General features: G+C 54.3%; 1 protein-coding gene and 1 long non-coding RNA gene across 6 annotated transcripts in view, besides 6 other annotated features; one reads left to right on the top strand and one right to left on the bottom strand.

The window, feature by feature from the left end:
• LIMASI (lncRNA inflammatory and mucous response associated, antisense to ICAM1) overlaps positions 1 to 4,227 on the top strand; it is a 23,441-nt gene extending 19,214 nt beyond the window's left edge. Inside the window, exons 3-4 of one of the 2 annotated variants that reach the window (XR_007067138.1) lie at positions 3,809 to 3,918; positions 4,057 to 4,227. This is a non-coding gene — a long non-coding RNA (lncRNA inflammatory and mucous response associated, antisense to ICAM1). Of the gene's footprint in view, positions 1 to 2,883; positions 3,012 to 3,808 lie in introns of both variants that reach the window. The other variant, XR_007067137.1, reaches the window with a different exon arrangement.
• Positions 3,824 to 4,023: an enhancer, noted in NCBI's record as "active region_13951". NCBI's record gives its function as "activates an Ori minimal core promoter by ATAC-STARR-seq in GM12878 lymphoblastoid cells {active_cell/tissue: GM12878}" and the evidence as "EXISTENCE:reporter gene assay evidence [ECO:0000049][PMID:35858748]".
• MRPL4 (mitochondrial ribosomal protein L4) lies at positions 4,182 to 12,286 on the bottom strand. Of its 4 annotated transcripts, NM_146387.2 has the most exons (10): positions 12,228 to 12,286; positions 11,927 to 12,091; positions 11,774 to 11,840; positions 11,536 to 11,686; positions 9,597 to 9,648; positions 7,412 to 7,529; positions 5,909 to 6,015; positions 5,715 to 5,824; positions 5,552 to 5,628; positions 4,182 to 4,620 (listed from the first exon to the last, which is right to left on the bottom strand). In NM_146387.2, exons 2-10 carry the CDS (start codon positions 11,981 to 11,983, stop codon positions 4,424 to 4,426), a joined length of 936 nt encoding a protein of 311 aa, NP_666499.1. In that variant the 5' UTR covers positions 11,984 to 12,091; positions 12,228 to 12,286; the 3' UTR covers positions 4,182 to 4,423. The 4 variants fall into 4 exon arrangements, with proteins under 4 accessions (NP_666499.1, NP_001398078.1, NP_057040.2 ...); NM_001411149.1 differs by lacking the exon at positions 12,228 to 12,286 and having other exon boundaries at positions 4,182 to 5,065; positions 11,927 to 12,023; NM_015956.3 differs by lacking the exon at positions 12,228 to 12,286 and having other exon boundaries at positions 11,927 to 12,023.
• Positions 11,521 to 12,094: an enhancer, noted in NCBI's record as "H3K27ac hESC enhancer chr19:10362819-10363392 (GRCh37/hg19 assembly coordinates)". NCBI's record gives its function as "activates a minimal SCP1, AML or CMV promoter by ChIP-STARR-seq in primed H9 embryonic stem cells {active_cell/tissue: H9 hESC(primed)}" and the evidence as "EXISTENCE:reporter gene assay evidence [ECO:0000049][PMID:30033119]".
• Positions 11,521 to 12,668: a biological region, named in NCBI's record as "H3K27ac hESC enhancers GRCh37_chr19:10362245-10362818 and GRCh37_chr19:10362819-10363392".
• Positions 11,951 to 12,360: an enhancer, noted in NCBI's record as "active region_13950". NCBI's record gives its function as "activates an Ori minimal core promoter by ATAC-STARR-seq in GM12878 lymphoblastoid cells {active_cell/tissue: GM12878}" and the evidence as "EXISTENCE:reporter gene assay evidence [ECO:0000049][PMID:35858748]".
• Positions 12,095 to 12,668: an enhancer, noted in NCBI's record as "H3K27ac hESC enhancer chr19:10362245-10362818 (GRCh37/hg19 assembly coordinates)". NCBI's record gives its function as "activates a minimal SCP1, AML or CMV promoter by ChIP-STARR-seq in primed H9 embryonic stem cells {active_cell/tissue: H9 hESC(primed)}" and the evidence as "EXISTENCE:reporter gene assay evidence [ECO:0000049][PMID:30033119]".
• Positions 12,491 to 12,640: an enhancer, noted in NCBI's record as "active region_13949". NCBI's record gives its function as "activates an Ori minimal core promoter by ATAC-STARR-seq in GM12878 lymphoblastoid cells {active_cell/tissue: GM12878}" and the evidence as "EXISTENCE:reporter gene assay evidence [ECO:0000049][PMID:35858748]".

The following is a 12,668-nucleotide window of genomic DNA, read 5'->3' as shown; positions in this document are numbered from 1 at the left end:
TTCAAGTGATTCTCCTGCCTCAGCCTCCCAAGTAGTTGCGACTACAGGCTTCTGACACCACGCCTGGCTAAATTTTTTTTTTTTTTTTTTGAGATGGAGTCTCACTCTGTCACCCAGGCTGGAGTGCAGTGGCGCGATCTCAGCTCACTGCAAGCTCCGCCTCCCGGGTTCACGCCATTCTCATGCCTCAGCCTCCCGAGTAGCTGGGACTACAGGCACCTGCCACCTCGCCCAGCTAATTTTTTTTTTGTATTTTTAGTAGAGACGGGGTTTCACCGTATTAACCAGGATGGTCTCGATCTCCTGACCTCGTGATCCGCCCGCCTCGGCCTCCCAAAGTGCTGGGATTACAGGCGTGAGCCACCGCGCCCGGCCATGCCTGGCTAATTTTTATATTTTTAGTAGAGATGGGGCTTCACCATATTGGCCAGGCTGGTCTCGAGTTCCTGACCTTGTGATCCACCCGCCTCGGCCTCCCAAAGTGCTGGGATTACAGGTGTGAGCCACTGCTGCCGTCCACAAAATATATTTTAAAAATAAAAAGGAGAGGGCCAGGCTCAGTGGCTCGTGTCTGTAATCTCAGCACTTTGGGAGGCTGAGGTGGGTGGATCACCTGAGGTCGGGAGTTCGAGACCAGCCTGACCAACATGGTGAAACCCCATCTCTGCTAACAAAACAGAATTAGCCAGGCATTGTGGCGTATGCCTGTAATCCCAGCTACTTGGGAGGCTGAGGCAGGAGAATCGCCTGAACCCGGGAGGCGGAGGTTGAGATTAGCCGAGATTGCGCCATTGTACTCTAGCCTGGACAAGAAGAGCAAAACTCTGTCTAAAAATAAATGAAAAAATAGGCCAGGTTCGGTGGCTCACGCTTGTAATCCCAGTACTTTGGGAGGCCAAAGCGGGTGGATCACCTGAGGTTACCAGCCTGGCCAATATGGCGAAACCCCTTCTCTACTAAAAACACAAAAATTAGCCAGGCATGGTGGTGGGCGCCTGTAATCCCAGCTACTTGGGAGGCTGAGGCAGGAGAATCGCTTGAACCCAGGAGGCAGAAGTTGCAGTGAGCCGAGATCGAGCCACTGCACTCCAGCCTGGGCAACAGAGCGCGACTCCGTCTAAAAAAAAAGATAGAGAAAAAAGAAAAAAATAAAAAGGAGAAATTTAGACACAGAAACAGACACATACCCACAGGGACAACATCATGTAAAGATGAAGGTGGAGACTGAAGCAGTGTGGCTACAAGCCAAGGAATGTCAAAGATAGTCAGCAAAGCAAACCACCAGACGCTAGGAGAGGGATCTGGAACAGATTTTCCCTTAGAAGGAGCTAACCCTGTTCTTCACCTTGGACTTCCAGCCTCCAGAAACAGGACAGAATAAATTTCTGTTGACTAACCCCCCCAACCCCTGCAGTTTGTGGCACTCCTACGGCAGCCCTAACAAACTCATATACCCCCCCTATTTAATTAATGAATTAATTCATTCATTCATTATTTTTTTTTTCGAGACCGAGTCTTGCTCTGTCACCCAGGTTTGAGGGCAGTGTCATGACCTCGGCTCACTGCAACCTCTGCCTCCCAGGTTCAAGCGATTCTCCTGCCTCAGCCTCCCAAGTAGCTGGGATTATAGGCACCCGCCACCACATCCTGCCAATTTTTGTATTTTTAGTAGAGATGGGGTTTCACCATGTTGGCCAGGCTGGTCTTGAACTCCTGTCCTCTAGTGATCCGCCTGCCTTGGCCTCCCAAAGTGCTGGGATTACAGGCGTGAGCCACTGCTCCCCGCCTATTTTTTATAGAGATGAGGTCTTGCTGTGTTGCCCAGGCTGGTCTCAAACTCCTGGCCACAGCTTTCCAAGTAGGTGAGACTGCAGGTGCATGCCACCATACCCAACTATGCCAATTATTTTAAAGCACATTCTAGTCAGTGTATCATATTTTTCTTTTGTTTTCTTTTCTTTTTTTTTTTTTTGAGACAGGGTCTTGATCTGTTGCCCAGGCTGGATTGCAGTGGGGTGATCTCCGCTCACTGCAGCCTCTACCCCTAGGGCTCAAGTGATCCTCCCACCTCAGCCTCCAGAGTAGCTGGGACCACAGCCACACCACCGTGCCTGGCTAATTGTTCTATTTTTAGTAGAGATAGGTTCTCACTGTGTTGCCCAGGCTGGTCTCAAACTCCTGTGCTCAGGCGATCCTCCCGCCTCAGCCTCCCAAAGTGCTGGGATTACAGGCATGAGCCACCAGGCCTGCCTGTATCATTTTTTTCTGATGCCTGTTTTTATCCTCAATCTGGCTGAGGGATTCCAGTGTGGGGGAATACGTTCTGACCCATTTCTTTTGAAAATCCGTCTGGGCAGCAGTTGGTCTCACCATGTTTCCTGACAGGTATGACGCAGACTGAACCACATTTATACTTCTGGCTGCAACTCTCCAGGCTGGGCCAGGCACTGTCAGGCCAACAGCTGGGTGTTACTCTAGGCCTTGGTGCCCCCACAAGACTGGCAAGAGGAAGAGTGATGAGGCGGCATTTTCTGCTGAGCTTTGGCACGCCTCTGTTTTTTTTTTTGAGACAGTCTAGCTCTGTCGCCAGGCTGGAGTGGAGTGCAGTGGCGCGATCTCGGCTCACTGCAAGCTCCACCTCCCGGGTTCACACCATTCTCCTGCCTCAGTCTCCTGAGTAGCTGGGACTACAGGCGCCCACCACCACGCCCGGCTAATTTTTTGTATTTTTGGTAGAGATGGGGTTTCACTGTGTTAGCCAGGATAGTCTCGATCTCCTGACCTCGTGATCCGCCTGCCTCGGCCTCCCAAAGTGCTGGGATTACAGGCGTGAGCCACCGCGCCCAGCCAACTGGTTTTAATAGCTTTTTCTTTTTTACTTAGTCAAATCTGCTGCTTCAAGGATCAAAGTCTATGTCCACTGAGGGTGTTTGGAGAATGTGTTGCAATCTCTGAAGGCAATCCCAAGAGAGGCATTCCAGAGAGGTTTTCAGCCAGGGGTGGCCCAGCAGGTAGGGAGGGTTGTGTGGCTGCTTAGCCTGGCCAGGCCCACACAGGCAGAAGGCAGTCCTGATTGACTTTATTTATTTATTTATTTATAGATGGAATCTTGCTCTGTCACCCAGGCTGGAGCGCAGTGGCGCTATCTTGGCTCACTGCAACCTCTGCCTCCTGGGTTCAAGCGATTCTCCCACCTCAGCCTCCTAAGTAGCTGGGATTACAGGTGCCCGCCACCACTCCCGGCTTGGCCAGGCTGGTCTCGAACTCCTGACTTCCGGTGATCCACCTGGCTCAGCCTCCTAAAATTCTGGGATTATAGGCGTGAGCCACCGCGCCCAGCTGGTTGACTTTAAATAAATCGATCACATTGTCTATATTATAGTCTGTTATGGCTGTTAAGAAAAATTAACTTGGCTGGCAACCTCAGCAAACTCAAAAATTGGGATATTGGGGTTTTAAGACAGTGTCTCACTCTGTCACCCAGGCTGGTGTGTGGTGGCTCAGTCTCAGCTCACTGCAACCTCTGCTTCCTGGGCTCAGGTGATCCTCCCACCTCAGCCTCCCAAGTAGCTGGGACCACAGGTGGACGCCAACACGCCCACTTAATTTTTATATTTTTTGCAGAGATGGGGTTTCACCATGTTGCCCAGGCTGGTCTGGAAGCTCTGAGCTCAAACGATCCTTCCACCTTGACCTCCCAAAGTGCTAGGGTTACAGGTGCGAGTCACCACGCCCAGCTGGTGTTTTTAAGCATGTGCTTATCTGCTCACTTACAGAGAGACATTTACTTTTCTGACTGTGCTTACAGGAAGTCACTCTGAAAACTCAGGTTTACACAACATCTACTTGTACAATCAAGCACACACTCTCAGGCTGCATGAAGTACTGTCGCAGACAGGACTGCAAACCCTCTCAGGGGTGAGAATGGCTGGCAGCAGTGCTCAGGAGAGGGATGTGGCAGGAGTCAGCTCCTAGGAAGTGCCAGCGCCCACGCACCTGTGAGCTCCTGGAGTCTGACTCACCGGGTAAGTGAATTCTTGTAATTTCCACAAACAGCCCTGGGGTTCCCCTAAACCAGACCGTGAGCCTCTTGAGACGGCGGATCCCCAACAGTGCCCAGAACCTGGGAAGGAGCTCATCGTTCTCAATGCAATTATCAAAAATGACACTGAGAAGTTATCTTTATCCTCCTTGATTCAAAAATACAATTTATTTTAAAAACAAAAAGAGGGAATGGATGCAGAAGCCCGTCTGGGCTTTCCGTGGAGTCGCCCCTTCCCAATGGCGATGGCCGCTCCCTGTGGCCTCAGCTTCCTCCGTGGAATGAAGGGGTCCAGGTGACACCTTCCTCGAAGGGTGGGCGTGGGCCTGAGGCTCCCAAGTCGGCCAGGGGCTCGGCCTGGCTCAGAAGAGGTGCTTCACATCAACAGTGGTACGGGGTGGCCGCTGGGCCCTGGGTAGCGTGGGGTAGGGGTCGGGGGAAGTCGCTGTAGGGCAGGCTGAAGGGGTAGAGGGGTCTGTAACGTGAGTCCTGCCAGAGCAGCTTGTCCTCCAGGAAGGCGACGGTGGGCAGCGTCAGGACCAGCGTCTGGTGCTTGAGCATGCTGTGCACATTTAGGCCTGGGGGCGGGGTGGGGGCGGGGCGGGGGGCCGGTCAGGCCGGGGCTGCCTCTCTCCTCACCCCACCCACATCGGAGTCCCTTTGTGCTTACAGAGATCGTCACTGTGGTCTAGTGTGACTTTGTGAGCCCAGCAGCCCGGGGCCAGACCCTGCCTGGCCGCTTGTTGCCTGTAAGCCTCTGGCCAAGGAGCTGCTCCCAGCTCATCACCTGCTGACCGAGAGCCAGGCTCGGTCCTGTGCCTGGCTGGGACTCCTGGCTCCCATTCTGGTGGGGGAGACCCAGGGCAAATGACGGGAGGGCAGGGAGGTGACGGGGCACATCGTGCAGGGCCTGACGTGCCACCCTGATGACTTGGGCTTTCATCCTGAGAGAGGTGGGGAAGCCAGCGAGGGGCGTGGGTTGAGGGACAGGACTTGACTTAGGCTCATGTCGCCATCTTGTGGCTGTGGAAGGAACAGACTGTGGCTTTGACAGAGGTGACTTTGGAGCTTTTTTTTTTTTTTTTTTTTTTTTTTTGAGACAAGAGTCTAGCTCTCTCCCCAGGTTTGGGTGCAGTGGTGCGATCATGACTCACTGCAGCCTTGGCCCCCTGAGCTCAAGCTATCCGCCTGGCTCAGCCCCCGAGTAGCTGGGACTACAGGTGCACATCGCCACGCCTAACTTTTTTATTTTTAGTACAGATGGGAGCCTCACTATATTGCCCAGACTGCCTTGGCCTCCCAAAGTACTGGGATTACAAGCGTGAGCCACCATCCCCAGCCAAGCACTTCTTTAGGAAAGATTATTGCTTTGGGCAAGCTGAAGGTTGGGTCCGGGAGCGTGGTCACTGCCTGAGGCCACTCAGCGACCAGATGCCGGATTTGAACCGCTGTGATTCTAACAGCGGAGCCTGCACATGCGCACTCTAGGGGCCTGGGCTCTTTGCTCACCAACAGCCGGGATCAAGTTGAAGGTCTTAAGCCTAGAGGTGGCCTCCACGATGCTCTGTGGCATCTCCTCGTGTGTTCTGTAAGAGAGGCCAGGGAGTGGGGGTTGAACCCTCAGAGTACGGAGCTCAGGGCCCCCTGCCCCTGCTCTGCCCTGTGCCCTCACAAGTCCACGAGGAGTACGGAGTCCCCCCAGCGGCGGTAGTGCGCCAGCTCTGTCAGGTACTGTGGGTCTCCGGTGGGCAGCTCTAGGGAGTCCATGATGTGCAGGTCGTCCTGGTGGAAGGAAAGGATGGTTTGAACCCTGGGTCCAGAGCAGCCCCACCTCTAGCAGCTGTCTGGGCCCCCCCATGGCTGTACCTGGGCCAGCTTGACGGTCAGTGCCACTTTGAGACCCAGCGCCCGCACCTTCATGGGCAGCATGTAGTAGTAACTTGTGGGGCCCCGGGGGCCATGGGCAACACCTCCTGCGGGGACAGAGGCATGTGAGCAGGTAGGGGCCACTGCAGAGCCTGGAGGTCAGCAATCTGCTGCAGTGGCTGGCATGGGGTGACGAGAGAGGGGGCGCTGCCAGGAACAAGGCAGAGAGGGTGGGGCCTCAGGGGAGGCTGGATCAGGGACAACATGGGACCAGTGACTTTGCTTCACTGGGCTTCAGTTTTCCCAGCTGTCACACTCTGAGACAGGGCTGGCGAAGGTGGCTCACACCAGCATTTTGGGAGGCTGAGGATGGAGGATCACTTGAGCCCAGGAGCTCAAGGCTGCAGTGAGCTATGATTGCACCACTGCACTACAGCCTGGGCAACAGAGCGAGATCTTGTCTCAAAAGCAAACAATAAAAAAAACAAACCACCTTGAGATCGGACAGTTCCTGCCCCATAGGACACCATGAGTTATGGTGTGGATTCCATAGAGTGGCTAGAGTGTGAACTTAACTCAAGCACGCTGTTAATGCTGAAGTTATCAGGAGGTTCGAACTTTCAGGTCAAGCGGGAGAGGAAGGCATCAGGCACATGCTCCGGTGGAGCAAGCAGTATGATCTGGGAGCAACAACAGTCAGGGAGACCCCTGCAAGCACCATGTGTTGGTGTCTGCCCTCGCCTGGGCCTTGGAAATGCAGCAGAGAAGACAACAGACATGGTCCCTGCCCTCATGCCATTCACATTCCGGCAGGGCAGAAAAGAGGCTCAGCTGTAGAAGAAATCAGGGTAGCTCCGGGGGATGTGGAAGGAAAGGAGATCAAGGGGGGCTTCCTGGAGGAGGTGTGGCCCAGAACCCTGAAAGGTGAGGAGAGCTGGCCAGGTAAACAGGTGATGGGGTGGCTGGCACCACCCTGAGTCATCTTGTTAGCATTCAAGAAAATAAAAAGTTAAAAACAAACACAACCGAAAAAACAAGAGAGAGTCATCTCTGCCTGGTCAGAGAGGGAAAGGAGGGGATGAGGGGGAAAGGTGTGCAGCCACCAGGGCCCACAATGACAAGGTCAGGAGTTCAGGTTCCACACAAAGGCCGAGGTCCGGAGTTCAGGTTCCACGATTTAGAAGAGCTCTCTGGGTGCTGTGGGAAGTGTGGGTCAGGAGAGGGTGACAGGAGGTGGGGTCAAGAGGGGCTGTGGCCACAGGCTGAAGAGACAGGGCATGCGAGAGGGAGGAGTGGATGGCTCCCAGATCTCTGTCCCCTTATATGGGTAGTGAGGTCCAAGGGCCTCAGTTCCGATGTCACCAGCCCAGGTGGTTCCATGAGGTGGAGGGAACAGGGCTGACATAATACCATGCCAGATGTGCGCAGCTGTGTGTGAGTAAACACCCAGGCCCTTCCCTGGCCCCCCCACCCCTCCCCGCCCCCTCCACCCTGTCCTGTTACCTCCTCGCCAGAGCGGAGAGCGGATGCTGCCATGCCGGGCCCGCCCAGTGCCTTTCTGCGGCCAAGGCTTCCGGCCACCGCCCCGCACCTCGGCTCTCGTCTTGGTCTTGGCATAGCTCTGGAGGCACAAAGAGGAGGGGGGTCAGGTCCACGAGGCAGGTGTCAGGGAGCCGGGCAGATCAGTCCTGCCACGGGGAAGTCAGACAGGAGGCACCATGATGACGGGCTCTCTCTGGCCAAGCACAGAGTACTTGGGGAGCGAGGGGGAGGGTAAAGAAGTCACAGCTCCTGCCCCATGCCAGCCTCACAAAGGCAGGGGCCCTGCCACCGGGCACGCAGGGGGTGCTCGGTATTTTCTGAACTATTGATTTTTTTTTTTGAGGCAGTCTCACTCTGTCACCCAGGCTGTGGAGTGCAAGTGGTGTGACCTTGGCTCACTGCAACCTCTGATTCCTAGATTCAAGCGATTCTCCTGCCTCAGCCTCCCTAGTAGCTGAGATTACGGGTGCCTGTCACCATGCCCGGCTAATTTTTTTTTTTGAGATGGAGTCTCGCTCTGTCGCCCACGCTGGAGTGCAGTGGCGCGATCTCGGCTCACTGCAACCTCCGCCTCCCAGGTTCAAGCAATTCTCCTGTCTCAGCCTCCAGAGTAGCTGGGACTACAGGCGCCCGCTGCCACACCCAACTAATATTTGTATTTTTAGTAGAGATGGGGTTTCACCATATTGGTCAGGCTGGTCTCGATCTCCCGACCTCGTGATCCATCCGCCTCGGCCTCCCAAAGTACTGGGATTACAGGTGTGAGCCACCGCACCTGGCCCCAGCTAATTTTTTGTATTTTCAGTAGAGATGGGGTTTTGCCACGTTGACTAGGCTGGTTTGGAACTCCTGGCCTCAAGTGATCCACCTGCCTTGGCCTCCCAAAGTGCTGAGATTACAGGTGTGAGCCACCGTGCCGGCCTATTTTTTGAACAATTTTAATGTGGTTGTAGCCACAAGGAGGGAGGGCCATGGGAAATGACACAGACAGGGAGAATCAGGAAAGAGGAGCAGGGCAAGGAAATCAGGAAGAACTCAGAATAGCAGACTGATGACTTTATTCCTAGGGTGATGGGGAGCCAGGGAAGGTGTGAGCAGGGGGAGGACTGGCCAGACCTCTGGGGTGGATGGATAAGACCCTGACTGGTAATGGATTCTTCAATGTTCTTGGCACAAAACCCAGACTCCTCCCCACTGCTCCCACTGGCCTCTGTGGCAACACTGGCTTCCTTGTGGTCCCTGCCACAGGGCCTTTGCACACCCTGTTCCTGTTATCTCCACACTAGCCCCACTGCCTCCTTGATCTGGTTAGCTTCTACAGTAGACCCAAGGTTGAACGTCCCATTCTCTGGGACATGCTCATAATTACACATTACGTATGACCATCTGACTCACCTTCACTTCTCCTCCCATGACACTGTGACCTTCATTAGAATAGGGACTTTGCCCATCTTTTTCTTGGGGTTGTGGGGGAAGGGGTAGAGACTGGGTCTTGCTGTTTCCCAGGCTGGTCTTTCCTGGCCCCAAGCAACCCACCCACCTCAGCTTCCAGTGCTGGGATTACAGGCCTGAGCCACTTGCACACAGCCGGACCTTGCCTGTTTTGTCCTCGTGGTCCCTGCTATATCCTCTCACCCACCACAATGCCCACATCAGTGAGTGATCAGAAAACAACTGAAAATGAGCTGGGCACGGTGGCTCACGCCTGTAATCCCAGCACTTTGGGAGGCCAAGGCAGGTAGGTTCCTTGAGGTCAGGAGTTTGAGACCAGCCTGACCAACATGGTGAAACTCCATCTCTACTAAAAATACAAAAATTAGCCTGCATGGTGGTGCACACCTGTAATCCCAGCTACTCAGGAGGCAGAGGCAGGAGAATCGCTTGAACCCAGGAAGCGGAGGTTGCAGTGAACCAAGATTGCGCCACTGCACTCCAGCCTGGGTGACAGAGTGAGACTCCATCTCCATCTCAAAAACAAACAAAAAAAAGAGAACCAAAAATGGACCCATCGGTGAATAGTTCAGGAGACAGATGAGGCCCCAGCCGAGCAGTCCAGAGAAAACCCAGCGATGGGCTTCCTCTGGGTCCTATCCCCAACCTCCCCAGGAAGCTCCTTCCCACCACCTTGCTCCATTTAGGCACTCACAATTCTCTTGAAGTTCTTCTGCCACATAGCAACCTGGTGCAGTATGTCCAGCCTGCGGGGAGGAAGGACACATGAGAAGCCCAACTCTGCTTCAAACGCTCCCACCCCACTATAGGAAAACCCAGGATTCTCCCTTCTGCCTCCAGGGCCCTGGGCGATTTGCCTCTGCCCCTCACTGACCCCATCTTGAAATTCTGCCTCAGGGCCTTGGCACTTGCTGTTCCCTCTGCCTGAAACACTCTTCTCCTGGATGGTTCTTTCTCAGCCTACAGGTAGCAGCTCCAATAACTGCTGAAAGGTACCTTCTAAAGAAAGAGCCACCCTGACCAGGTGCAGTGGCTCATGCCTGGAATCCTGGCACTTTGGGAGGCCAAGGCAGGTGGATCACTTGAGGCAAGGAGTAAGACCAGCCTGGGCAACATGGCAAAGTGATGTCTCTCCAAAATATACAAAGATTAGCTGGGCACGGTGGTACATGTCTGTCATTCTGGCTACTCGGGAGGCTGAGGCATGAGAATTAGTAGAACCCAGGAGGCGGAGGTTGAAGTGAGCTGAGAGCATGCCATTGCACTCCAGCCTGGGCGACAAGAGCGAAACTTCATCTCAGAAAAAAAAAGCCACCCCTTCTTCCTTGTTTTTCCTACCATTACTTTTTTCCTGCTATTACACTTCACTTATTGCCACCTTCTTCAGGGACTGGTTTTCCTCTCTAGTTCTATACCATTCCATACAGTCACATACTCAACATCTGAAACATGGCCAGTGCCCCATGCTACAATGTGATTTCGACATAGTTTTAAATACAGGTTAAATACATTATTGAAATCAATTTCACCTGTTTTTTTTTTTGAGATGGAGTCTGTCTCTGTCGCCCAGGCTGGAGTGCAGTAGTATAATCACGGCTCACTGCAACCTCCATCTCCCCAGGTGCAAGCGATTCTCATGCCTCAGCCTCCTGAGTAGCTGGGACTACAGGCTTGCACTAAGACGTCCGGCTAATTTTTGTATTTTTGGTAGAGACGGGGTTTCATCATGTTGGCCAGGCTGGTCTGCAACTCCTGGTTTCAAGTGATCCGCCCACCTCGGCCTCCCAATGTGCTGGGATTACAGATGTGAGCCACAGTAACTGGCCCCTACATTTTCTTTTCTTTCTTTTTTTTTTTTTTTTTTGAGACAGAGTGTTGCCCAGGATGGAGTGCAGTGGCGCGATCTCGGCTCACTGCAAGCTCCGCCTCCCGGGTTCACGCCATTCTCTTGCCTCAGCCTCCAGAGTACCTGGGACTACAGACGCCCGCCACCACGCCCGGCTAATTTTTTTTTGTATTTTTAGTAGAGACGGGGTTTCACCATGTTAGCCAGGATGGTCTCGATCTCCTGACCTCGTGATCCGCCCGCCTTGGCCTCCCAAAGTGCTGGGATTACAGGCGTGAGCCACTGCGCCCAGGGTGGCCCCTACATTTTCTTAGAGATGTTATGAACAGCAGGGTAACTAAAATGCAAACAGCCTCTTCCAGGCACCGAGGAATGGTTTAGTCTTTTTAGTGCTCTTATTTGCAAAAACCAGTTAACAAAGATTATCAACATTTCTATAGAACTTATTATGTGCCAGAATTAAGTCATTTATTCATCACAGCAACCTCCCGACCGCTGACAAAATAGGGACACTGAGGGACAAGAGGGGAAGGCAGGATTTGAACCTAATCAGTCGGGCTCCAGAATTCTGTCTCCCTAACCCTTAGATGATGTCACCTCTCAGGCTTCAATCTCACACAGCGCTACAGCAGGGGAAACTGTCATCATTCCCCTTTGACAGGTGGAGAAACGGAGGCTGTAGAAATACAGCACTTTCCCAAGGGTACAAGCCCAAAGTCATCGTGACTCCTGAAATCCCGCTCTTCATCCCTCTGCCACTCAGTTCACCATTACAGCCCTCGCTCACCTGGGCGCGGTGGCGAAAACATCGGGGTGCAGGTCGGCCAGGCCCACGCGCTCCTGCTCGAAGCCCCGCAAGGACTCGACCCAGGCCTGCACTGGGCGTCGATGAGTGGGTACCGGGAGCTCGACTTTGCGCAGCACGGGCTCCGGGAGACCTGGAGCGATTGCGGGGGTCAGAGGTTAGGGTCAAGGGTCAGACCTCTCTGTCGCCGCCCCTCCTGGAGCCACCCCGGTTGCCTTACCCTCGCTCGCCACCTGCTCCGGGTTCTCGGTCGCACGCGCTGCCTCTTCCGCCAGGGAACTCAGGCCCTGCAAGGGTTGGGCGAAAGTGAGAGACGACCCCTGGACACCCCCAAATTTCATCCTTCGACCACGCCTCCAGCCCCTGGCCTCACCTGGCTGCCGGTAGGCCGAAGCCAGGCCCGCGCCCCGGCCCGGACGAACTGCAGCATCGCCGCGCAGCCTCCCACGCCGCGGGAGGTCAAGGCCACTGGAGCCTCGCGAGGCGCCGCTGGATGACGTCACGCACGCGACGCCGCCCTACCCGCCGCGACTCCGCGCTGGAAAGCGGGGTGTGCAAAACCGAAGATGGAGGGGGTCCGACCCGGCGTGCCCAGACCTCCACCCCAGGACTAACCCCCAGACCCAATTTTCACTCCTGCCTCAAGGACCCTCCGTAACACTGGGGAACGCGACCTCACAGCAAGAAGACCCAGCTTCCGTAGGCCTAGCCTACTTTGGGTCCCGCCTCCGACGAGCCGGTGCAGGAATTCAGCCAATGAGACCTCTCTGGCCCAATTCAGCCAATGACTGTTAAGCCTGAAGGAGTGACCCCCGCCCATAAGTGGGCAGTTCTGGAGTGAGCAACTAAGGAATACAGCCAATAACGCTTAAACTTTTGCTGTTGGTCACGCCCACCGGGCCACGCCTTCATCCCGCCTCCAAGGCTGTCGGAGATGGTTTTTTCTTTATCCAGTTATGTGGTTTTGTTTTTTTATTTGTTTTTTTGTTTTTGTTTTTGTTTTTGTTTTTGTTTTTTTTGAGACGGAGTCTTGCTCTGTTGCCCAGGCTGGAGTGCAGTGGCGCGATCTCGGCTCACTGCAAGCTCCGCCTCCTGGGTTCACGCCATTCTCCTGC

This window comes from Homo sapiens, chromosome 19 (assembly GCF_000001405.40).
Source record: "Homo sapiens chromosome 19, GRCh38.p14 Primary Assembly".
NCBI lineage: Eukaryota > Metazoa > Chordata > Mammalia > Primates > Hominidae > Homo > Homo sapiens.
This window is presented reverse-complemented; position numbering and strand designations above follow the sequence as displayed.

Bases quoted from the DNA above. Each gene is read 5' to 3' on its own strand.
- MRPL4 (NM_001411149.1), bottom strand. From the start codon at position 11,983: ATGCTGCAGTTCGTCCGGGCCGGGGCGCGGGCCTGGCTTCGGCCTACC. The intron at 6,016-7,411 runs GTAACAGGACAG...CTGTCCCCGCAG, and splicing joins CTCTCCGCTCTGGCGAGGAG to GAGGTGTTGCCCATGGCCCC. The intron at 5,825-5,908 runs GTACAGCCATGG...TCCTTCCACCAG, and splicing joins TGACCGTCAAGCTGGCCCAG to GACGACCTGCACATCATGGA.